General features: G+C 41.4%; 1 long non-coding RNA gene across 5 annotated transcripts in view; it reads right to left on the bottom strand.

The window, feature by feature from the left end:
- Positions 1-8,501: 8,501 nt before the first annotated feature.
- LOC105370198 (uncharacterized) overlaps positions 8,502-26,930 on the bottom strand; it is a 114,265-nt gene continuing 95,836 nt past the window's right edge. For all 5 annotated transcript variants that reach the window (XR_007063792.1, XR_007063791.1, XR_007063789.1 and 2 more), the window contains one exon: positions 8,502-9,007. This is a non-coding gene — a long non-coding RNA (uncharacterized LOC105370198). The remainder of the gene's footprint in view (positions 9,008-26,930) is intronic.

The following is a 26,930-nucleotide window of genomic DNA, read 5'->3' on the forward strand; positions in this document are numbered from 1 at the left end:
AATAGATAGCTGAATACACTATGTATCTTTAAAAAAATTTTTTTAATTTTATTATTATATTTTTGAGACAGAGTCTTGCTCTGTCACCTAGGCTGGAGTGCAGTGGCACGATCTCAGCTCACTACAACCTCCACCTCCCAGGTTCAAGCAATTCTCCTGCCTCAGCCTCCCAAGTAGCTGGGATTACAGGCATGTGCCACCATGCCTGGCTAATTTTTGTATTTTTAGTAGAGATGGGGTTTCGCCATGTTGGCCAGGCTGGTCTCGAACTCCTGACCTCAGGTGATCTGCCCGCCTTGGCCTCTCAAAATGCTGGGATTATAGGCAGGAGCCACTATGCTTGGCCTATTTTATTTTTTTAAGGCAGAGCCTTGCTATGTGAGCCACTTCACCCGGCCTATTTTTTATTTTCATCAAACAACATATATACATAGTCTAAAGTCAAATGGTACTCAGAAGCTTCTAATGAAAATAAAAAAGTTCTAAATTACCACCTCCTGAGCCCCACTTCCTAGCATATCCTTCTCACTAAAGGTGGGCACTCTCAGCATTTTTAACCATTACTTCTATTCTTTGCTCACATATTTTAAAATAATATGCATATATTCTATATCTCTATTCAACTGCTTTTGAAATTTATTTCCTATTATGATAAATGAGGATTTTATCTCTCTTACATGTGTCATTTATCTTCCCATTAGTTAGAACACAGTTCTGGCCAGGCATGGTGGCTTATGCTTATAATCCCAGTACTTTGAGAAGCCAAGGCATTTGAGACCAGCCTGACCAACATGGTGAAACCCCATCTCTACTAAAAAAGTACAAAAAATTGGCTGGGCATGGTGGCACATGCCTGTAATCCCAGCTACTTAGGAGGCTGAGGCAGGAGAATCGCTGGAACCCAGGAGGTAGAGGTTGCAGTGAATCAAGATCATGTCATTGCACTCCAGTCTGGGCAACAAGAGTGAAACTCAGTCTCAAAAAAAAAACAAAACACAATTCTTTGTTAAGTCAATAGTTAGTGTTTACATTACTACACTATATCTACACATAACTATGTAATTATTATTTGTTTGACATGCCTAACATATCCCTGTGGAGATTTTTTTTAATAGAAAAGAAAATATCTAAAATATCAAAGTGCATTGTGCATCTTGTGGAAACTTTTTTCACTTAAATATCTAGGTATGTGTGCACTGGGTCAAATGTAAAATGTATTTTTTACTTTGTACTGAAAAAGTGTGAATGCTTTGGAGATGGGGTCTTCAAAGAGGTGATCAAGTTAAAATGAGGCCATTAGGGTAGACCCTAATTCAATCTGACTGGTGTCCTTTTAAGAAGAGGAAAAGATGCCAGGGATGAGTGTGCACAGAGAAAAGACCATGTGAGAATATGGCAAGAAGGCAGACACGGGCTAGCCAAGGAGAGAGGCCTTGGAAGAAACCAGTCCTGTTGACACCTATATCTTGGACTTTTGGCTTCCAGAATTGTGAGAAAATAAATTCTTGTTGCTTAAACCACTCAGTCTGTGGCATTTTGTTATGATAGCCCTAGCAGACTAATAAAGAGGGGTTGCAGGTCAATGGGCATCTGGAGATGTCTAATCATTGCCTTGCACATACCTTTGACTTTCTTGCCCCCATCTTGATTTGTTTCATTCCCTTGGCAAGGCCACGCACTGAGCTACATGCAGCTGTGCCTACTACATGCCTATACCAATGCAGCTGAATATGGATGGAGAAAAACACAAAAGCCAGTCAGTTTGTTGTAACTGAAATTCATGACTTTAACCCCCAAATCTTCAGTGGGTCCTTAGTGCTTCTGGGTAATGAGACTATGCATCCCTATTCTGACCCCTCTCCACTGTCCTTCATACAATTTCACACCATTGCCTCTCTCCACCCCTCAACATCTCCTTTCCCTTCCTCTTTCTCAATTTAGGATCTTGCCTCACTTGATTCACTGAGGAAAACAAAAAACAAAAAACAAAAAAACATATTCAAGGTCAAGGTTCAGATGGAAAGTCAGAGTCAGGTATTTCTTTCCTGGCAGGCAGGTAGTGAGAGAAGGAAAACAGAACAACTGCATTCACTAACTCTTCTCCAAGAAACAAAAAGAGTTGAAACTCTACCTCAAGACATGAACCTCAGAGCCTTTAATCCCAAGTAAAAATAACACTCAATTCAGTATCAAGCTCCAATATCAAGAACCACCATTTATGGTTTCTGAAGACATAAATCACCTCTCAAAAAGCTACTGGGAGAAAGGGATGAATTCCCAGCAAGTTGCTGGCATATAGGGAAGCAAATCTAATTTTTAAATAAATTACAAAGCCTCAAAATGTGCCATTTTAACTGCTTTTAATTAGCCAAGTTATCTCACTTAGAACCAACTAGGGCTGCTCCACCTCAAGAGAAGATTCACCCCTTACTCCTTCACGCCCCCATCCTAGTTACATTTTGAGGCTTTCCTCAAAAGAACCTCAGCCTGCACTTTCAAAAGCAATACAACAAAAAACTCCCACTCTTCAAAATTACTCAGTTAATTAAAGTCATTAGCCCTCTAGTAACTGTGGCATTTGACTTTAACTCCCTACATTCTTGTGCCTTGAGAATAAAAAACAGTTTAGGTTAAGCCTCTCATTCCCTTTATTTATTTATTTTTATTTATGTACTTATTTTGAGACTGAGTGTCACTCTGTCACCCAGGCTGGAGTGCAGTGGCACAATCTCGGCTCACTGCAACCTCTGCCTCCGGCATTCAAGCGATTCTCCTGCCTCAGCCTCCCGAGTAGCTGGAATTTCAGGCGTGTGCCACCACACCCAGCTAATTTTTGTATTCTTAGTAGAGACAGAGTTTCGCCATGTTGACCAGGCTGGTCTTAAACTCCTGACCTCAGGTGATCCTCCCGCCTTGGCCTCCCAAAGTGCTGGGATTACAGGCGTGAGCCACTGCACCTGGCCTCATTTCCCTTAAATATTTGCAGTGTGATATCGATGGAAAAATCTCCTGGAATTTATCAGACTCTCAAATACGAGAAATGTCATCCTCTCCCTGAAATTCTCCAGGCATCATTAAAAATTTACGACTTCTCAGTAACTCAGAAGAAGGGTGGGCATCATCTTTGACCTCCTTTGGTAGATTCGTTGATTCTTTCAACAAATATTTATTAAGTTCTGTGTATATGCCACACTAAATGCTAGGCCTATAGAGGTGAGCAAGACAACATTGGTCAGGAAAGGCCTCCTGGATGGGGTGAAAGCAGAGATTCTTAAGATAGAAGGTGGCTGGAATAAGTATCAGAGGTGGGCAGGAAGATTGGCAGGTCTAGAGGAAGAAGGACTAGAACAAAGAATCAGTATCAGAAAGCAAGTTGTCAAAATGCCTCACAAACTTCTTAATTGTGGATTGAATGGTGGCCTTCCCAAAATATATGTCCACCTCCCAGAACTTGTAAATGTGATTTTATTTGGAAAGGTTTTTGGAGTTGTAATTAAGGATCTCAAGATGAGATGATCCTGGATTATCCAAGTTGACCCTAAATCCAATATCGAGGTGTCATTATAAGAGATACACAGAGGAGAGACACAGAAGGAAGAGGAGAAGGTCATGTGAAGACAGAGGCAGAGACTGGAGTTAGGCAGCCACAAGCCAAGGAATGCCTGCAGCCTCCCGAAGCTGGGAGAAGCAAGGAAGCACTCTTCCCTAGAGCCTCTGAGGGAGCACAGCTCTGTTGACACCTTGATTTTGGGACTTCTCGCCTCTGCAACCATGAGAGGAAAATTTTCTGTTGTTTCTAGCCACGCAGGTTGTGGTAATTTATTATAGCAGCCCTAGGAAACCAATACAAGATGAAAAAAAGTCTAGTTTGAATGAGTAAAAATTCTCAGATTATTCTAAGAAAATACAGGTTCATTTTATCCTAATACATAAAACAAATCTCTAAGTGTTCTTGGGTGCTTGGAGAGATGAATAAACTAAATGTATTTATATTAACAGCATCAATTTGTACATCGTGAGCTAAAACAATTAAAAACATTTTGTGTTCTTAAGTAGAGGCCCAGGTTATGGAATAAAAGCTAAAGAGATCTCAGAAGTCATCTGATCTAGCCTGATCCCAGCCTGTGATCAAACCCTTTCTGGTAGAGGGGAGGTGGCTACCTCACATCAGCTAATTTTATGTATAATAAGCCCAAATGTGCTTCAAGATAATTTTCACATATTGAGCACAAACTCTGTCTTCTGAAGTCATAAACAAAACATTTAATCTGTCTTTCACACAACAGCCTAATTTTTTTAAACCACAATTTATTAAGATTTTTTCTTACAAAATTTCATATATACATGCATATTTTTATTGCTTTTTAAAATTTTCTATATTTTCTATGATGCATTTTTTATATTTTCTAGATTTTCTGATGCATATATATGCTCATATATACATCATAGAAAATATATATTATGATTATGATTATGATTTTTATTTATTTATTTATTTATTTATTTATTTATTTTGAGATGGAGTCTCACTCTGTTGCACAGGCTGGAGTGCAATGGCACAATCTCAGCTCACTGCAACTTCCACCTCTCGGGTTCAAGCTATTCTTGTGCCTCAGCCTCTCAAGTAGCTAGGATTACAGGCGCTTGCCACCATGTCCGGCTAATTTTTGTATTTTAGTAGAGACAGGGTTTCACCATGTTGGCCAGGTTAGTCTCAAACTCCTGACCTCAGGTGATCCACCCACCTTGGCCTCCCAAAGTGCTGGGATTAAAGGCATGAGCCACCGCACCAGGCCGATTTTGTTTTTATATGTCTAGATTTACTATGATGCATGTATATGTGCATATATATGATGCATCATAGAAAATCTAGAAATATATGAAAAAATAAATATCGCCTGTTAGCCCACCATTGAGAGACACACGTTGTTAACATTTTGGTTTATTTCATCTCTAATATTTTATTTTTTCACCCATGTAATCATCCCTAGTTCCTTCAGTCAAACCTCATTTAAAAGGGTTTCCAGACCTTTCATCAACTTGATCATCTGTTTCATACATTCTAGTTTGTCCTTCATAAAATGTGACAACCCAGAGTAAAGATGATGTTGCAGGTCCAGTATGTCTAGGGCTGCATGAAAGGAAACTTCTCTTTTGGTCTGGGGAATCACTGTAATGAAGTTGAATGATCACAGCCTTCGTAAAATGACTAACCTCAATTCAAGTCCTGGTTCTAATGATTTATAGTCTCTGCATTTCAGGTTCTCAGTCTATAAAATGGGGAAATGAAGCTTTCCCTATTTTTGCTGGAAGGCATAAAGGGATGTAAGTAATGTGCTTGCTGCATTGCATGTACAAATAAAAATAAATTACAGAAGTGGGTAATGTCTACTGGACTGGGTGTTGTTTCATACCCTATAGGTACAATTGCTATCCCTGTTTACAAAAAAGGACACTGAGGCACAGAGAAGTTAGGTCATCCATCTAAGACCACATACTGGGGGGTGGCAGCACCCAGGCAGTCTAAAGTCAGAGCCAGTATTCTTCACCACCATACCGCAATGTCCAGCAGCTATCATCATAACTATTATACTTCCTTCAGCATATCCCAATGCATTCAGTAAGTTTTTTGGAAGTCATATTACTTTGTGGATACATGAAAGTTTGCAACATATTAAAAAATTCTAACTGAAAGTAACCAGAATGTCATTCAATGGGTTGGATAAGTAATGGAATTACATAACAAACATTAGTACATCTATATAATGAAATACTATACAGTAACAAGAAGGAATGAGCTATCAAAGCCACCCTAAGACATGGAAGAATCTTAAATGTGTATTGCTAAGTGAAACAAGCCAATCTGTAAAGGCTACATGCTATGTGATTCCATTTATATGACATTCTGGAAAAGGTAAATCTATAGAGATAGTAAACAGATCAGTGGTTACGAAGAAATCAGAGGATGAGGAGACTGGAGTAGGCGAAGCACAGAGGATTTCTTTAAGGTACAGAAACTATTCTGTATGATATTGTAATGGTAGATACATGAAACCATGCATTTATAAAAATCCACAGAACTTTACAGCACAAAGGATAAACCTTAATGTATGCAAATTAAAACAATTATTTAGGAAGTTTGATGATCCCAGTATGGAGTGCAGAATGTGAAAAAAGAATCTAACTGTATTATGAATGTTTCATCCCCTGAAAGAAGGGAGGAAAAAGTTGCAGAGAAGGGGAGAAGGCTAGAATGATCCATGTGGTACTGGATTAGATCAGTATGAACTCTTATATAGCTTAACATAGGTACACAGGGTTACAAATAGAAATATTTATGGATATGTTTCTATATGCTGATTGGTATACATACATGTATCTCTTTGCTTTTAATTACCCAGGTTCAAGGAATCCTTTATAGTTTATTTGCATTGCTATAAAGGATTCCTTGAACCTGGGTAATTAAAAGAGAAGTCATTTATTTGGCTCACAGTTCTGCAGGCTGTACAAAAAAACATGGCAAGAACATCTTTTTTTTTTTAAGTTTTAAAAATATTTAAATAGCAGAGATAGGGTCTTGCTATATTGCCCAGGCTGGTCTCGATCCCCCTGCCTTCACCTCTCAAAGTGCTGGGATTATAGGCATGAACCACTACATTCAGCCAAGCATCTGCTTCTGGTAAGGGCTTCAGGGAGCTTCCAATCATGGCAAAAGGAGAAAGGGGAGCAAGTGTGCCACACAGTGAGGGAGGAGGAAGCAAGAGAGAGAGGAGGAGGTGCCAGGCCATTTTTTACAATCACATCTTGAGGTACCTAATAGACCTGGAACTCACTCATTACCAGGAGGATGCCACCAAGAAGTTCATGAGGGATCTGCCACATGATCCAAACACCTTCTCCGAGGCTCCGCCTCCAACACTGAGGATCAAGTTTCCACAAGAGATTTAGAGGGGATGAATATCTAAACTATATCAGAGGCCGGGCGCAATGGCTCATGCCTGTAATCACAGCACTTTGGGTGGCCAAGGCAGGTGGGTCACCTGAGGTCAGGAGTTCGAGGCCAGCCTGGCTAACATGGCAAAACCCCGTCTCTACTAAAAATACAAAATTTAGCTGGGTGTGGTGGTGGGCGCCTGTAATCCCAGCTACTCAGAGGCTGAGGCAGGGAACCGCTTGAACCTGGGAGGTGGAGGTTGCAGTGAGCCGAGATTGCACCATTGTACTCCAGCCTGGGTGACAGAGCAAGACTCCATCTCAAAATAAATAAATAAATAAATAAATAAATAAAATTAAAAACTGTATCAGAGATTGGGGGTGAGGGAGTAACTTACAGAGGAGGAGCCTGACAAACACTACTTCAGCCACATGATCAAGGACAACGGCGAGAAGTCAGTTGATAGTACCTGTTACAGGCTGAATTGTGTCCCCCTCCTGCCCAAATTCACATGTTGAAGCCCTAAGTCCCAGGACCAAAGAATGGGACTGTATCTGGAGACAGGGACTTTCAGTAGGTAATAAGTTAAAGTGAGGCCGTTACGGTCCCTATTCAAGCTGTCTGGTGTTCTTTTTTTTTTTTTTTTTTTTTTATACTTTAAGTTTTAGGGTACATGTGCACATTGTGCAGGTTAGTTACCTATGTATACGTGTGCCATGCTGGTGCGCTGCACCCACTAACTCGTCATCTAGCATTAGGTATATCTCCCAATGCTATCCCTCCCCCCTCCCCCCACCCCACCACAGTCCCCAGAGTGTGATATTCCCCTTCCTGTGTCCATGTGATCTCATCGTTCAATTCCCACCTATGAGTGAGAATATGCGGTGTTTGGTTTTTTGTTCTTGCGATAGTTTACTGAGAATGATGATTTCCAATTTCATCCATGTCCCTACAAAAGACATGAACTCATCATTTTTTATGGCTGCATAGTATTCCATGGTGTATATGTGCCACATTTTCTTAATCCAGTCTATCATTGTTGGACATTTGGGTTGGTTCCAAGTCTTTGCTATTGTGAATAATGCCGCAATAAACATACGTGTGCATGAATCTTTATAGCAGCATGATTTATAGTCATTTGGGTATATACCCAGTAATGGGATTGCTGGGTCAAATGGTATTTCTAGTTCTAGATCCCTGAGGAATCGCCACACTGACTTCCACAATGGTTGAACTAGTTTACAGTCCCACCAACAGTGTAAAAGTGTTCCTATTTCTCCACATCCTCTCCAGCACCTGTTGTTTCCTGACTTTTTAATGACTGCCATTCTAACTGGTGTGAGATGGTATCTCATAGTGGTTTTGATTTGCATTTCTCTGATGGCCAATGATGATGAGCATTTTTTCATGTGTTTTTTGGCTGCATAAATGTCTTCTTTTGAGAAGTGTCTGTTCATGTCCTTTGCCCACTTTTTGATGGGGTTGTTTGTTTTTTTCTTGTAAATTTGTTTGAGTTCATTGTAGATTCTGGATATTAGCCCTTTGTCAGATGAGTAGGTTGCGAAAATTTTCTCCCATTTTGTAGGTTGCCTGTTCACTCTGATGGTAGTTTCTTTGAAGAGGAGATTAGGACACAGGGAGAGAAGCCCTAAGAAGGTGGGTGCATGGAGAAAGAGCCATGTGAGAACACAATGAGAAGGCAGCCATCTGCACGACAAGGAGAGAGGCCTCAGAATAAACCGACCCTGCGGATTTTATATTTCCAGGCTTCATAACAAATTTCTGTTGTTTAAAACACACAGTCTGTGGTATATTGCCATGGCAGCCCTGACTGACTAACACCAGCACTCTTGACAGGATGTGATGGAAATGGCACTTTACCTTTGGGGTTTTCCTCCAAACTCTAACTCCATCAGATAAATCCCAAGTGAAGGGCTTTCTACAAAACACCTGACCCATACTCTTCAAAATATTCAAGGCCATTAAAAACAAGGACGCTCTGAGAAACTGACAGCCAAGAGGAGCCAGAGGAGACACTGTGACTAATGGTAATGTGGTGTCCTGAATGAGATCCTGAAACAGAAAAGCAACATTAAGTAAGAACTAAAAAACTCTGGAAAAAAGTATTGACTTTAGTTAATAATAATGTATCAGTATTGGTTTCTTTTCTTTTTCTTTTCTTTTTTTTTTTTTTTTGAGACAGTCTCACTCTGTTGCTCAGGCTGGAATGCAGTGGCATGATCTTGACTCACTGCAACCTCCCAGGTTCAAGCAATTCTCCTGCCTCAGCCTCCCAAATATCTGGGATTACAGATGCCCACCATCACACCCAGCTAATTTTTGTATTTTTAGTAGAGACAAGGTTTCGCCATGTTGGCCAGTCTGGTCTTGAACTCCTGACCTCAGGTGATCCACCCACCTCGGTCTCCCAAAGTGCTGGGATTACAGGTGTGAGCCACACCGTGCCTGGCCCAGTATTGGTTTGTTAATTGTAACAGATGTACTTAATTATTGTAAGAAGTTAATAATAGGGAAAACTAGTATGAGGTAGATGGAAACTCTTTACTATCTTCACAATTTTTTCCCAGGATGGAGTGCAGAATTTTTTCTCAGCTCACTGTAGCCTCGACCTCCCTGGCTCAAGTGATCCTCCCACCTCAGCCTCCCCAAGTAGCTAGGACTACAGTCACGCGCCACCATTCCCAGCTAATTTTTTTGTATTTTTTGTAGAGACAGGGTTTCACCATGTTGCCTAGGCTGGTAAAACTATTCTAAAATAAAAAATTTATTTGAAAAAATCTTTGTGTTTTTCAGATCCATTACCACTAAATTCTATTTAGATATTCAACAATGTTTTCAGTATAGTAACTATGTAATTGCTGCTCAGGGCAGAGCCAAGTAGGGTATTATGGTGATAATTTCCTTCCTATACAGCTTTTAGTTCTTCCAGTAGTTTCTATTTCTTTTTCTTCTTGTAACCTCTTACAATAATTTTTCATTTGTCTTCCAAAAGTTCCATCATATCCAGAATTTTATTTGTCTCACCTTCTTTTTGGGGAAACCTTGCCTCTCAGAGCCTCTGCGGCCAGCAAAGGTCATTTGGTGAGAGGCTAATTTAATGTGGTTCAAGCATACGGTCTTCTGGTGGCCTAATCTGATTTAAGGATAGAATTTAGGGTAGCTAAAGAAGTGAGTAAATGACATATACAGTAAATGTCCTTTCCCACTTTACTCATCTAGCACTTGGTGGTGAAGTTGATATAATTCCAGTTCACAGCAAAGATATTTGATATTTCAGTTAGTCCCAATAGCATTGATACTTTTAAGAACCTTCTGGGATTCAAGGACTCAAGGTGGAGGCTGACTACTCTCAGCAACCAGTAAAAAAAAATCAATGGTGCTGAGGCACAGCCAATTAACCAAAACAAAACCACCTAATGATATCATCACCCAGTCCACATTTCTTCATTTGATGGACAAAGAGTCTCTGATAGATTTTGCCAAAGTCATAAACTTCAGATAACAATAACTCTTAACTTTCTTATCCTTCTAACATTCCTAAATAACAACAACAAAGAAGTTTTGAGGACAAAGGAAATTTTTTGGCACAGAATAGTACCTGTTTTGCACAGAATAATATATTTTTAAATGTCTTCATAAATGACACCATATCTTTTCAACTTCCTATAAGCAGTACCTACCACAGAGTAAGTGACCAGTATTTAATTGAAGTTCTTTGACTTATCTAGTATCTGAATGGGAAGGTCAGTTTTACATTCACTTAAAATTTTGTTTTCTCCCAGATCAAAATATTTGTTTTGGCTCTATAAAGAGAGATTTCCCAGAAAAAATTTTCCTTTCTGGCTGTTAGTAAGTTAGTTCACTTCCTGTCTCTGAGTCTGTGGAAACAATTCAGAAAAGATCAACTATAATTCCCATTTTCCACCTTGTTTTTCATTTCTTTGCATTTCAAATCCTGTTTGTTTTTGTGTGTTAGCCTCTCACATAAGTACCTGCTTGATAAATACTTACTGATTTGATTTAATTTAGAAAAACACTTTATGATTTACACAATATTGTTTAATTGGCAAAATTTGCCTCTGATGGTCGTACCCTGTCTCTGAATGTTTATCACAATTCAGAAAGTACTACATGACCCTGTGTGCAAATGAGTCACTGTATCTCCCCTACAATGGCACAGAGATTAACATCGAAGTGGCAGGAAATGAAGAATCGAATCCAACTCAAAACCACCAAATTCCCAGCTCATTTAGCCTTCTTGGTAACTACAGTATCATTACTTTCCATTTACTTTCAAATACATCCAAACTCATGCTATCTGATTCTGACCCTGGCCAGAATATATGTATATATATATATATATATATATATATATATATATATATATATATATATATATATATGTATGTGTGGGTATATATATATTTATTTATATATATATATATAACCATTAAAAGCCATAAGGATGAGTTTACCGTTAAATCTTTGAGTAAAAGCAAAGAGGTTAAAGGAGGTTTCTTGGCACTTGTCAGGGCAGAACAGTGGCTTCTTTGTCCTTTCAGATTCTCTGTGGCTTGGCCTTTGCCTCTTCTTGGATAAAACGTTGCTCTTTGACATGCTGGGCTTCAGCCAGGTCTGCTCCTCAATCCTCCCCATAAGTTATCCCTTTCAGCCAGCCCCAGTCCAGTGGTGAACACAGTGACTCCCTGTCTCAGCAGTTAGCTTTCCAGAAAGTTGCCTGCCCACTTTGTGAATCTAACACCTGATATAAAATTTCTAATTACAAACACCAAATTCTTTCTCCTAGGAGATCTGAAACTGCATGCTCTGCTCTTTGTTTCGACCTTTTATTTTCATTGGAAAGCCCTTGCCAAACATTGGGAACATTTCACTCCATCTGATACAGGCTTTTATCTCTTCTCAACTAGAAAAATGCATAATGCTTCATTTTCAGTATAACCAGGCAATCCATTTCCAAGATCTGCTGTATACAATGCTCCTGCCTGGCCAGTATGCTGTGCAAAGTGCCTCAAAGGTATTTCTCAGATTCTGGCAGGACCACTTTGTTGACATTCCTCAACAAAGGCCTTACAATTTCAAAGGCAGTTTAGCTAATTTGATTTTAGAAGTGTCAGTGGTTCTTCTTTAAGTCCTTAGACATCAAACCCACAGAGCCCTTAATACCAGATTTAGATGTGAAGTGGTGGAATTATAGAACACAAACATCATGTGGCAAGTGACCATCTGACAGATGCATATTTAAATCTGTTTGCAAAAATGTACCCTGTTGACTTGTTGGCATCCTAAGGTGTTGGTTAATAGACTTTACATCCCCAACACAATTGAAGAGCCTGGCCCACGTCTATTACCAAGGAAAACAAGGTAGGGAGATGTCCAGGGATTACAAAACTCTAATAAATCCTGTTTCTTATTCCACATAATACTTAGTATACTCACAGTTTCTATTTGGTTTACACCCCTGCAGAAACCTGGATAAGTTCAGGGTGGCCCCAGGAAACAGGGAGAAAGGAAGACTGCAGGGACTGGCTGTCAGTCAATGTCAATGTCAGAGGTTGAAGTAAGGGGGAGGGAGAATCAGGGATCCTGGAGGAGTCTGCAGGGGAGAACAGACTATGCAGCAGCCTCTATCAGGACAGTTGGTGTACACTTGGCTGAACTGTCTCCTTTTTGCATTTTTCTTAGGAAACTATAATGGCAGAAAACTGAAGAGAGTTCAGATAGAAATCTTGTGTTCAACTCTGAGCACAAGACTTTCTGTTCATTTATTCATTCATTCATTCTGTATATTTATTGAGCAACTATGTTTCTAAGAATTGTTTTAAATTCTGGTGATACAGGAGGACCAGTCAAACAATTCCCAGCCCTCCTAAAGCTTACTTTCTACTGGAGGTGGGGCAGAGTGTTAACAAGTAAATTTACCAGATAATTTTAGTTTATGATAAGTGTTGCGAAGAGGTGGGAACCACATTACACAGCAGGGCCAGAGAAGGCCTCTTTGAGGAGGGTGATGCTATGGCTAAGAACCAAGAAATGGGGCTGGGCGCAATGGCTCACGCCTATAATCCCAGCACTTTGGGAGGCAGAGATGGGTGGATCACCTGAGATCAGGAGTTCAAGACCAGCCTGGCCAACATGGTGAAACCCCATCTCTACTAAAAATACAAAAAAATTAGCTGGGCATGGTGGCGTGCCCCCGTAGTCCCAGCTACTCGGGAGGCTGAGGTAGGAGAATCGCTTGAACCCAGGAGACAGAGGTTGCAGTGACCCGAGATAGCACCACTGCACTCCAGCCCGTGCAAGAGAGTGAGACTCTGTCTCAAAAGAAAAAAAAAAAAAAGAGCTAAGAGATGAAAAGGAGAACATAACTGTGTGACCACTGAGGGAAGAGGTCCAGGTAGAGCGAACAGCAAGTACAAAGGCCCCGAAGCAGGGAGGCTGGGGGGAGGTGTTTGAGGAAATGAGTCTGAATTAGGTTTCTGTCTGCTAATGCAGGAACACAAGCCTTTAAAACCACCTTAGTCTAGTGTCCTCATACTTACTTATTAATATACTGTGGTAAGTGAGAAGACAGGTGAGCACAGGTTCTATGGGTTTACAAAGAGCATTTAGATCAACCTGGAGGTTCAAAATATGACATCTAAGCTCAGATATAAAGGATGAGTCATAGTTATGCAGGGGATTTCAGTAAGTGCAAAATTTTAGGTGTACAGTAGGCCCCCTTTATCCATGAGGGATATGTTCCAAGACCCCTAGTAGATGTCTGATAGTACCAAACCCTCTATAGACTATGTTTTTTTGATCTGATAACAGAGATGTCTACCAAGTGACTCACGGGTGGATAGTGTATACAGCATGGATCCCCAGGACAAACGGAAGATTCACATCCCAGGCAGGATGGAGTGGGAAGGTGCAAGATTTCATTATGATACTCAGAATGACATGCAATTCAAGTTTACATATTTTTTTTTCTGGAATTTTCTGTTTAATGTGTTCAGACCTCAACTGACTGCTAGTAACTGAAACTGTGGAAAGTGAAACTGTCTAAAAGGGGACTACTGTATTTGGGAGGAGTTGGAATACCAGAAAAAGTGAGAGGTAGGAAATAGCAGAATAAAAGCCTGGAATGTTAAAAATAAGCCATGAGGCTGGGCGTGGTGGCTCATGCCTATAGTTCCAGCACTTTGGGAAGCTGAAGCAGGAGGATTGCTTGAGGCCAGGGATTTGAGACCAGCCTGGGCAACATAGCAAGACCTCATCTCTACAAGAAACTAAAAATAAATAAATAAATAAATAAATAAATAAAGAGAAGCCATGTCATGAATGGCATTTTTTATCTCCAAGATCAAAATCTTAGACTTGGTTTTATAAGTCACTGAAAGATTTTTAAGCAAGGGAGTGACAGAACCACATGGTGACTAGGTTAAAGGGGAATGAGGAAAGACAAGAGGAAGGAAATCAGTGGATATGTTACAACAATCCAAGAAAGTAATAATGTGGGTCTGACTTAAACAGTGGGGAATAAAAAGGAATAGAAAATTTGAGAAATATTTAGTAGATAAAATAAGAATTGGCTGATTGACTTGGGAGGACAGGGAGTGTGTCTGAGGCGGTGGGGGAGGAGTTAAATGGTTAGATTAGATGATGGAGACTGGAGGCAGTGTCACTAGTTTAGGTGAATAATATAAAAGAAGGAATAGGTTTTGAGGGAAATGGAGAATTCAGCTTTGGGCTCATGGCACTTGAAGAACATAGCCTGTAGTCCAGTTTATAGAGAGAAAGAAAACTGCAAATTGCTATTACCATTATGACTCTCCTTTTTTTGCAGAAGAAATTCATAGCTAAGGCCATGAAAGGTGAGAGTGTCAGGGTTCCTTTTATTTGGTGCCTGATAGAGACCAGGTGCTCCTGGTGGGAGCAGCCAATCAAAAGTACTTAATAGGGAATCTATTGAGGCCAGGAGTTCAAGGCCAGCCTAGGCAACATAGCAAAATCCAGTATCTGGGAAAAAAAAAATTTTTGTTTTAATTAGCAAAGGGTGGTGGAACATGCCTGTAGTCCTAGCTACTCGGGAGGCTGAAGCAGGAGAATTGCTCGAGCCCAGGAGTTCGAAGCTGCCATGAGCTATGATTGCACCACTGCACTTTAGCCTTGGTGACAGTGAGACTCTGTCTCTTTTTTTTTTTTTTTTTTTTTTGAGATGGAGTCTCGCTCTTGTTGCCCAGGCTGGAGTACAGAGGCACGATCTCGGCTCACTGCAACCTCCGCCTCCTGGGTTCAACGAAAGAGTACTTAATAGGACTTTACACTACCCATCTCTTACACCCAGGATTTGCCTGGGAATAATTAAGAAACATGTTTCTTAACATATACACATGTTTAGGTGTATGCTTATGATGAGGGCAACAAATGTCCAATCAAGGTAGGAAGATAAAGCTAAGGTCTATATAACAAATGTCCACTAATGCAATACTTAATTCTAGACAAGGAGATAGGACTGTGGGTGGCACAAGAAGAGGAGCTTTGATTTAAAAGGTCAAATCGTTGGGAGGCATAGCCATCTTTCAGGTACTCGGAGAGTTTCCAAAGAATGGCTTATAGCCAAGAATAAGCTTCATGTGTTGGGGGCAGGGGGTGTGAATCAGGACCCAGGGGCACACTGGGTGGGTGGAGGGTTGGGAGTGGGACACAGGGTGGGGCTGCAACCTGGAAAGGAGTTCAAACTCAGCAAGGCAGACAAAGGGTGATGTGGCAAAGATTATGTCAGTAAGATAGTTGCTTCCTGAGCTCTTACATAAATTAAAGTCATTAAAATTAATTTTACTATGTGATTTTTTTTACACTCCTAGTGAAAAAGATGATACCTGGCAAATTTTCCCAAGAGTGTCTCTATACTTCTTTGGATAATTGATATCCAAGGCAGATGAGATTCAGGAGAGACTTTTATCCAATATAGACAAAAACAGCCTTGCCTTTTGCTTTCACGTTTGAGGATTAAAGGACTTCGATTATTTAAGGGGGCTTAGTAAGTGTTGATTGCAATGACTTAGAAAATCCTTTCAGTGTCAAATGATGATGCAACGTAAGCTTTCTTGAAGAGTGAACTTAACTGTTACTGCTCTAAAGGCAGGTAATATAGAGGACATGAACAAAGAAACAGACCTGCTTTGGCCACTGAGGAGTCTCAAGTAAATGGCATGACCTCTTTCACCTGCAGTTTTCTAGTCTGTAAAATGGGGATTGTAATTTTTTCATTGATTCAACAAATATTTTATGAGCATCTCCTGGCACATCTCCTATGTGACAGGTACTGTTCTACCCAGTTCATAAAGTTATTTTGAGAATTACATGAAATAGCGTAAGTGAAAAATGCTTAGCATAGTTTCTACACTCTATCAGATGCTGATTGTATTAGTTTTCTATCCAAGAAGCTTTTTCAGCTTGAAAAAGATGGATGTTGAATGTTGGAGCCATTACTGGGTCAGGCCAACAATGGCGAAGACACTCAAGAGTGTTTGTTGTAAATATCAGGGTGTCTTGCACAGGGGAAGAATTGACTAAATTGGGGATCCAAGAATGAAAAGACTTTTAATTTAATGATTTTCTTTTTTTTTTTTTTTGAGACAGAGTTTCACTCTTGTCGCCCAGGCTGGAGTGCAATGGCACAATCTCTGCTCACTGCAACCTCCGCCTCCTGGGTTCAAGCGATTCTCCTGCCTCAGCCTCCCGCGTAGCCAGGATCACAGGCACCTGCCACCATGCCCGGCTAATTTTTTGTATTTTTAGTAGAGACGGGGTTTCACCACGTTGGCCAGGCTGGTCTCAAACTTTTGACCTCAGGTGATCTGCCTGCCTTGGCCTCCCAAAGTGCTGGGATTACAGGCATAAGCCACTGCGCCTGGCCCAATGACCTGTTTTTGAAATAGTAGGATGAAGGGCAAAATGTTGACCTGGGGAAAATAGAGCAAGTGTCAGTCAAAATTATTCTGGGAAGTCTGCAGAGGTTGCCATGAAGCAGCAGGGGTGATCCAAGTTAAGACTCATCAGAAACATGAATGTCCCACTGGGTCTAGAATATCAAGAAAGAACTCCAAGATAGTTTGCTTCATCAACATGTTCAGAGTTGAGGTGCGTGACAAAATAATTGTTTTTCTGAAGCACTTTTAACTGTGAACATTACAACATACCCACTGAACACTGGAAAGTTAATTTGTAGTTTGAAGAATTGACCAGATAAGGACCCTGATACTTCGGATATTAACATTTGCCAGTGCTCTAAGTAGTTCATTTTAAAAAGGAAAGGAAGAAAAGCTGACTTAAGCTACAAAACATGTTTTCTCCCAGTATCACTGATATATTACCTTTGCTTCTGAAGTGGGTTGGTTCATTAGCAAAGGGTGCAGCATTTTCCACTTCCCTTTTACAAACTGAACTTTAGCGCAGACCCTGAAGAGTCTATGGAGGTTGGTCAGTAATCACAATGGAATAGGATATGCCTTACCCTCAAAGAGAGACGTGGAAGGTCAAGGTCATTTGCAGGTGCCTCCCTCAGTGCTCGGAAATGGTATACATTTCTTATAACAATATGTGATACTGTAATTACCTACTTATTTTTCAGTCTTTTCCAATAGACTATAAGCTCTTCAAGTGCAGAGACTGTGTATTATTAATCACTGTAAGTCCAAATGCTTAAAAAGCCACTAACAGGAAGGGCTCAGTAAATGCTTTATACAAAGTGAGTGGATCAATGTACAGAGGGATTGATGGATGAATGGATGGATGGTTGGATGGATGGATGGTTGAATGAATGGATGAATGGATAAATGGTTGGTTGGTTGGATGGATGGATAGATGGATGACTCCTGGATTCCTGCCATTAAAGAAAAACCATCACAACAATAAAGAAAATGGTGCTCAAGTGAAGGGTGGACAAGATAGATGAGATTGACTTGGGCCCAGAAGAGTCACTAAAAGGGCATATAATCCTAGAATCATTGGGAAGAAGGAAACTTGGATCAATTTTTGCCACTGCTTCTTCTAATCCATCCTCCCAAGAGTCTGGTCTGTACCTCCAGTAGAGAAAACTGCTACTGGGTAAACAAGGTTATCTTTGTGGGACTGAAGAACAAGTAAGAGCTCCAAGACTTACTGAGAAGGACAGAAGGCCTGTCTACCTTATTCCTGTCCATGGAGTAGAAACCCTGAGAGGCAAGGGCTCCATGTGCCTGAGGGAGACAGAGTTATGGGTTTCTTGGGCCACTGAACAGTCGTCATGACTATAGTCCCAGAATAACTACTTCCCATAAGGGATGGACTATGGGGGAGTGAGGAATGAAGGACCTTTGGGAGTGCAGTCAGCAAGAGCTTGTTTGCAGACCTCAGTGAGCTCCAGGGGACTGCATTTGGTAGCTAGAGATTTGGTAGGGTCAGCAGCAATAAGGCACCAGCAATATAAACTCTTTTGCTCCCAGGAAATCTCAAGCTAGAGACTGATATGATTGAATAATAAGAGAACAGCAATCCATCAACCTCTCCGAGACACACAGAAACTGCCCCTAGTGAAGGTTTCTGCAAACCTGTAGGCAATGAGGTGAGGGCAACCTCCAGGGATAGCTCATTGGTCTCCCAAGCAGCCAGGAGCTGAAAAACTGGCGAGGGGTGGGTGGTGCCAGGGGAGAGTTGAGGGACCGCACTTCCCCTCCCTGAGCAATGCTGACCCAAGGGCCTTTGGGAGGAGGTTGTGCCACAGGACCGGTCATCAGAGAAGGAAGTCATTGCCATTCTACTAGCAAGTGAAGCTTGGGAATATAGGCAGGCTTTCAACTAGCTGCATGGAAAACAGCCCCAGGGTTCATCTGCAGGGTGCCCCCCTCCCCAGTACATGATTAACGTGGACACCTAAAAATCCAAGCTTATAATTTATACATTTGTCAAGGTGGGGTATGTTGGAGAAGGCGGGCCAAGCTTACTGTATAAAAGGAATGCTTCATTTCGTAGAATGTTATTCCCCTGCAGTTGCCTCTCACAGGTAGCAGAGCGTGGTGTTTAAAAGCATGGGTTTTGGAGCCAAATGCCAGGGTTACAATCATGACTAAATTCCTTCTGTTCTGAGACCTTGAGCAAGTTTCCTCACCTCTCTAAGTCTCTGCTTCCTCATCTGTGAAAGAAGATAATTAGAGCACCCACCTCATAGAATTGTTAAGAGGACTAATTCAATCAATCCAATTAAGTGCTGATATATAAGAACTCAATAAATACAGCATACATACAAAATAAGATTTGAGTTATTAAATTTGAATCATACATGTGGCCAAGCATTCACAAATTTCCTATGTAATTGCGAGTGGAGTAGTAGTTTGTCACGAGGTGGTGATTGGTGCAGAGGAACTGGGACACCAACCAAAAATATACATTGTGATACATTTTTTTCCCCTAAGATACTCAAGGATTTCTTGTTTTTGTTTTTTGTTTTTTGTTTTTTGTTTTTGAGACAGGGTCTTGTTCTTGTCACCCAGGCTGGAGTGCAATGGCACGATCTCAGCTCACTGCCACCTCCACCTGCTGGGTTCAAGCAATTCTACTGCCTCAGCCTCCTGAGTAGCTGGGACTACAGGAGCCCGCCACCACGCCTGGCTAATTTTTGTGTTTTTACTAAAGATGGGGTTTCGCCATGTTTTCCAGGCTGGTCTTGAACTGCTGACCTCGTGATCTGCCCGTCTCAGCCTCCCAAAGTGCTGAGATTACAGATGTGAGCCACCACACCCAGTCTGTTTTTGGTTTTTGTTTTGAGACAGAGTCTCACTGTCACCCAGACTGGAGAGCAGTGGTATGATCTCAGCTTACTGCAACCTCTGCCTCCGAGGTTCAAGCAATTCTCCTGCCTCAGCCTCCCAAGTAGCTGGGATTACAGGTGCGTGCCACCATGTCCAGCTAAGTTTTGTATTTTTAATAGAGACAGGGGTTTGCCATGTTGGCCAGGCTGGTCTCGAACTCCTGACCTCAAGTGATCTGCCCGCCTCGGCCTCCCAAAGTGCTGGGATTACAGGTGTGAGCCACCGTGCCCGGCCAGATATTCAAAGATTTCTTGTCAAACCCCTGAAGTTTTTATGGAACACAGTTTGGAAACCACTCCATTACTGGGCCAAAAAACAAAGCTATATATCCTATGGTGATTATAGTGAGGTTGAGTCCTTTACATCTGGCCCACTCATGCTAAAATAACCACTGGCAACTTATAAAGCTGGCTCCACTGAGAGAATTCCTTCTAACATCTTGGTGACTAGGCAAACAGACATGATCCTGGTCTTTTTTGAAGGGTATATGATTGACACTGCCAAGGAAAACAGTTAACAGGAGACACTAACTTAGAAGAAATAAAACCTGTTATTTTGGAGGGTACTATGAGTAAACAAAGGAGCGTTAAAACATATAATATAATCTTGGTGAGGTAATGAATAAAAATTTATTTATTAAAATATAACATTTCTTCATATAAAAATGTAAATAATGGGGCTTTAATAAAGAACATTTAAAAAGAGTAATGAGCTAGTCAGAAAACAAAGACTAAGAGGTCAACAACCACCTCAAGCTTTCCCCAAGCTATAAGAAAAACTGCCTGGTGTTTCTGATGAACCAAGTTATTTATGACATTTAAAACGGTGATATGAGCTATGATCTCTATTTCTGTTAAAAAAATAAAGAAATAAAAAGTCTTTAAAAGGTAGATTGTCATTCATGGATGACTGGAAGTTACATCTGAGAATCGCTGCCTTTTAAGCCTTATAGTTTAAAAATATTACCTCTGGGTGGTACAGTTTAGGAACAGGCCCTGGGAGAAAGTAATCTCAGGCCTTTGAATTCTTTCTATCCTATCTACCCTCCCACATAGCTCACTTAGGGTTGAGAGTTGAGTTTCATGTATTTAATTACATGCACCTGGAGGCAGGACACAATGACCCACGCTATGATCAAATGGTAATGCTACAAGAGTCACTCATTAAAAAGGCTAAGCATATGTGAGTTTAGCTTTTTCCAAGTAAAGACTAATAAAGTGAATATTTTATATATTTAATCACACGCTATTATGACACTGATAGGCAAAGAGACATAATTGGTAAGCAATTACATATGTAGCTGGTGTTACTTTCATACATGAAAATTATACTTTTACTGCTCCGATCTTCTCACTTTTGGTCCACACGACAGTATCATAAAAAAGCAAGGTTGCAGTGAGGACAACCTAGGTCAAAAGTTGCCAGGAGGGCAGAGGATTCATGAAAATAGACCCCATGCTTCTGTTGATTGGAGGGAGGTCTTGGTTGAGAGTGAGAGGAAAAAAGACCAGATGCTAAGAGTGAGTAAAAGGAACATTGTTCCTGTTGAGCCAGGAAGGAACAGGATAGGAATCGAGAAGGGCAATTTTAAAAAGGCAGGGGATGGGCAGTTCTTGTCAGGTGGGTAGACCTGTGCTTTTGCAGAAGAGGAACCTTAAGCAGGTTTCTTTCGAATACCTTCAAGGGTAACTGAATTTTTTGTTGCTTTCGTCTCCCACTTTCCCTCATCCCCTCAAAACATTTGTGGTACCTGAAATTCCTTAAACAGGGAATAAAGTTTTTCATTACGCAATTAGAAACAAAGATTGACCACAAGCAAATCAGCTGGCAGAGGTGACATGAAACTTTGCTCACTAAATGTTAATGGCTGATAGTGGATCATTGGCTATTTTGATAGGAAGAGGAAGTAAGAGAATGGGAGGCCCTGGGATGAGGTGGTTTTCCAGAGAAGGAAAGGAAGCATATTAAATGATAAGAAAAGAAACAGCTCACGGTTATTGAGTATTTATGTGCCAGGCTCTGTTCCAAGTGCTTTACGTGAATTAACTCTTTCAATTTCGCAGCACCCTGCCTGAGGTAGGTACTATTACTAATCTCATTTTACAGATAAGGAAACAAAGTCATGGAGAGGTTTGGTAACTTGCCCAAGGACATAGCAGAATGGCCAAGAGTTGATTTCTGGCATTTCTAGCCCAAGAGTCCACACTTTTGGCCACAGAGTGAAAGAAAATTGTCTCAGAGAAAAAATGACCCAGGAGACAAACTTCCCTACATAGACAATGTCGCCAAAAGTCAGCCTGTTCACTTCTGAGTATTAGGGATAAGGAGAAGAGGTGTTTTATGGTGCACAGCATTGAGTATCTGCTACTTAAAGGAACATTGGTGCTGGAATGGTTACTATGCTCAGTCTTATGGACCCTTTTGATACATTCTTGGTCTTACATGTGCACCGCTCAACTGCCTGAATTAGTGATCCTGTGGCAGTTGTTTAAACCCTCTGCACCTCTGAGTCCACATTTGGAAACTGGGTTATTTCCACTTGTCAGCTCCCTGACTCAGAGGAATGCAGGGAGGGCTAATGGGCTGATCTATGCTAAGTGCTCTGGGCCATAAACCAGGACTAACTGAACTTTCAGAGAACACTATGACTTGGCAGTGCTACTTAAATTGACAGAAGTGGTAGAATATTCTCCTAGCAGCTTCTTTACATGTCTTGGTTCAGCTGCCTAATCGCCCTTTAGGACAACAGCAGTCGGTCCACTGCGGCTGAATTCCTTGCTAGACTTACACTGTGTTGCTCCAACAGAGGACGACTGTCTGGTAGACTTGGGAGATGCCCATATTGTCTGGGACTGTTCAAATTATCCAGAGATAAGAATTCCTAATTCAAAATAAGGATCTTCAAGCCAGGACTTTGAAAGCAACTGCTTATCAAAAAAAGATGAAAAGAACTGGTCCCACTCCAAGGAAACTTTTAACCTAATAGCAAATATACCTTAGCATTTAATTCAAATGATAGTGTCCTAATTGACACCATCAAGGGCAGAACCAATTGCAAAGTTTCTTTAAAAAGTAATGATTTGGCCAGGCCCGGTGGCTCAGCACCCACCCAGCACTTTGGGAGGTCGAGGCGGGTGGATCACAAGGTCAGGAGTTCGAGACCAGCTTGACCAACATGGTGAAACCCCATCTCTACTAAAAATACAAAAATTAGCGGGGCATGGTGGCATGTGCCTGTAATCCCAGCTATTCAGGAGACTGAGGCAGGAGAATCACTTGAACTCGGGAGGCAGAGGTTGCAGTGAGCCAAAATTGTGCCACTGAACTCCAGCCTGGGAAAAAAAAAAAAGTAATGATTTACAAAGAGATGTGGAAGAAAGGATGCCTGAGACAAAGGGAAGAGGGAGAGAAGCAGTCTCAGCTGTAGCTATGATTAAGGACCAGTGGACACATAAGGATAAAGCCAGTTTTTTAAAAAGGAAAAATGTGTCTAATTAGTCCACACTCTCATTATCTAATGGATTTTCCCTCCCATGTGTTTAAGCATAAGAATACGCCACCTATGACTTCAAACAAAACAAACACACTAAAAGCAGAAGGGTGATCACACTATTTTGAACAGATGCAGTTATTCAACTCAATAATTTATCCTTGAATTCATGTCTTCTCCATCACAGAATCCTATCCTATCCTATCCTATCCTATCGTCAGGCTTCCTCAGACCTGAGAAAGGAAGCAAGCTTTGTGAGCTAATAAATAAACACGGCCAGTAGGAACCAAGGTGGATGTTCAGGATCAGAAATAGGGTAGATGAAAATAGTTTATAAAAAAAGAGTTTGAGAGAGGGGGAGGGAAACTGAATAACTAACCGAAAGCAGTAGGTGGTCAACACCATACAGTATGAAGGAACCACGAATACAAAACAAGGAAAACAAAAGACAGATTTTCAGAGTGCTGCCATGATGCACACAATTTCAAATAAAAGCTATGGTGAGTTTTAGCAAAATTTGGATATAAGAGATTTGGTTTTCAGATCCTGAGTCTCCTTTTTTGGCAGTGTTTTCTCATATCTGCGGTCTCTTCTCTTTAAGCACCAGAGGCCCCTCTATTCCTCACCAAGGAGAAAATATTGATGTAGACTCTTGGTGTGTAAGGCAAGACATAATCTTCCAAGAGTATCTGAAAGCTTCATCTTTATGTGGAAGGAATTTTCAGGTAAAAAGCTGGTGTGGAATTATACGAACCTTCCTGGTGTCCCTTCTCTCAAACCTCCCTAGAGGCACTTTCTATTTTTACTCTCTCTTCCTTGGTGCCATTTGTAACAGTGGGTATCTAGTTTACAAGGCACATCTTCACCCTGTCTTTGACTGGATTGAAAGAGGTTCCTTTCTCTAAGAAACAGCAGAATTCATGTAAGGAAAAGGCTATTTAGGTGAAATCGTGCTATGATATTTTGCTATGTCCAATCTATGATAAGGTCTTTGAAGGCCTATTATTGAGATGTGAAGTGTAAGGAAGCCAGTAGTCATTGAAAATTGCATTTCACGTAGAAACGTGCATCGCATTTGCTGAGGACATGAGTACCAGGGCTGGTGCTCTGAGCATGCCAGCGCTTGTTTACATGGGGCTGAAGGATGGCTTCCTCACTCGAACTACAAGGGCTGCCCCACCCTGCACTGGACTCAATGGAAGGAAGGGCGGGGTTGGCACAAAAAGTTTTGACAATACTCCAGTTCTTTGCACCCCAAATATTTACTGAAACAGTCGGATAATTCTTTAGGGAGACCAGGCCTAACACTACAAAAGGTGGCAAAGAGCCAGGAGGAGAAAAAAATGCTCCCGTTTGGTAAGGTTGTGTTTATTTTTGCCTGTAATAAATGCAGAAACAACAATACAGAAATACAGAAATTGTCCTACACACACCCTCTTCAAACTGATCACGCATTTGAAAATTTAGCTTCAGGGAAACCAGCCACTGCAGCTTCTATTCAGGCATTCCTGGTCCTGCAGGCAGCTGTTTCCTCTGCTTGGAATAGTGTCTCTTCTCACTGAAGCCCACCTTTCTTCTGATTCCTCTGCAGTCTTCTCCACATCCCACTGCCTGTATTAAGCCTCTCCCAGTTGTCCCAGCCCACAGTAATCTCTCTGTTCTTGGGCCTCCTACAGCACTCACTTGGCAAGTGTGGTGGCATTTATCTGCTTGTCCACTCAGCTCCTCTCCTTACCACTGGACCTTACACGGAATAGTCAACCTTCACTACATACGCCTACAAACAATGACAAGTTATTATAGTATAGTGGTTTAGGTGCACCATTGTCAAGTTCATGTTTGTGTGATTTGTAAACTCAAATGAAGAAGTTGGGCCAGGCGCGAATGCTCAGGCCTGTAATCCCAGCATTTTGGGAGGCCGAGGTGGGTGGATCACAAGAGGTCAGGAGTTCAAGGCCAGCCTGGCCAACATGATGAAACCCCATCTCTACCAAAAGTACAAAAAATTAGCCAGGCATAGTGGTGGGCACCTGTAATCCCAGCTACTCGGGAGGCTGAGACACGAGAATCACTTGAACCTGAGAGGCAGAGGTTGCAGTGAGCCAAGATCACACCACTTTACTCCAGCCTGGGTGACAGAGCGAGATTCCATCACTCACAAACACACACACACACACCCATTAAAAAAAAAAAAGTTTTCCTTTGTTACTTTTGAAATGTAGTAAATCCCTAATGTGTAATCATTTTCAAACATCATGGATTTTGTTAGGAGGCATAAGAAACAGCACGTGGGCTAGGCACCGTGGCTCATGCCTGTAATCCCAGCGATTTGGGAGGCCGAGGCAGGTGGATCACGAAGTCAGGAGTTCAAGACCAGCCTGGCCAACACAGTGAAACCCCATGTCTACTAAAAATACAAAAAATTAGTCGGGCGTGGTACCAGGCGCCTGTAATCCCAGCTACTCAGGAGGCTGAGGCAGGAGAATTGCTTGAACCCGGGAGGCAGATGTTGCAGTGAGCTGAGACCATGCCACTGCACTCCAGCCTGGGTGACAGAGTGAGACTCCATCTCAAAAAAAAAAAAAGAAAAGAAAAGAAAAGAAAGAGCACCTGGCAGATATGGGTAGAGAGATGAAGAACTAACTGAAGAGAATGAGAAGAGCAAGGAACTGGTTCACACAGTGCGAGCCCCATTGGTGTGCTTTACGTGGTCTGCTTCACTTGGGATTTTCTTGTGTTTGTTTGTTTTTTTTTTGTTGTTGTTTTTTTTTTGTTTTTTTTTTTTGTAGAGACAAGGTGTTGCTAAGTTTTGCCCAGGCTGGTCTTGAACACCTAGCCTTGAGCAATCCTCCCAAGGCCTTCTATCTTGGGTTTAACACTGAAAGTCCTAGGCAACCCCTCAGGCAAACCAGAAAGGTGGGTCACCCTACCAGGTGGCCAGTAAGCATCTTGACAAGAAGGAAATAACGTTTTAAGTCATGAACAGAGCCCTCTTTACTTTCTTTCACTTCAAATTCCAGTGCCTCGGCCTCTCCAAGGACATTCCACTCTCCTATAACAAGCCGAGGAGCAGGCAAAAATGCCCAGGGACTAAGCAGGAGTCCTGGGTTTATTAAACTCTCTCCACTTCAGAAGCAATGCCAGGCCCATTAGGACAACTGGTGAAGGGAAAAAGCTTAAACATAGTTCTCACAAACAGAAACGAAAGGGAATATTCTGAACTGGAAACAGTGACCTTTATGGCATTATTCCAAAAGGAAAGTCAAAGGCAGAGCCTCAGGAAGGCAAATGTCCAGGATCCACAGGAACTCTGACTTATGCGGAACATTCCACACGAGGCCTGCTAATTACAGCGCTGGAGCATCTGTTTTGATAATGTTCTTTGAAATCAACTCAACCCTGAGAATGTGTGCAAATAGACGAAAAAGAAGACTGGACTGTATGACTATGAATACATTTTGGATATTGTAGCATGTAGAAGAACGAAGTAGTACATTAGGAGCATCAAAAATATACATCACTTTTTTTTTTTTTTTTTTGAGACTGAGTCTTGCTCTTGTCACCCAGGCTGGAGTGCAATGGCACGATGTCGGCTCACTGCAACCTCCGTCTCCTGGGTTCAAGCTGTTCTCCT

Source organism: Homo sapiens, chromosome 13 (assembly GCF_000001405.40).
Source record: "Homo sapiens chromosome 13, GRCh38.p14 Primary Assembly".
Classification (NCBI taxonomy): Eukaryota; Metazoa; Chordata; class Mammalia; order Primates; family Hominidae; genus Homo; species Homo sapiens.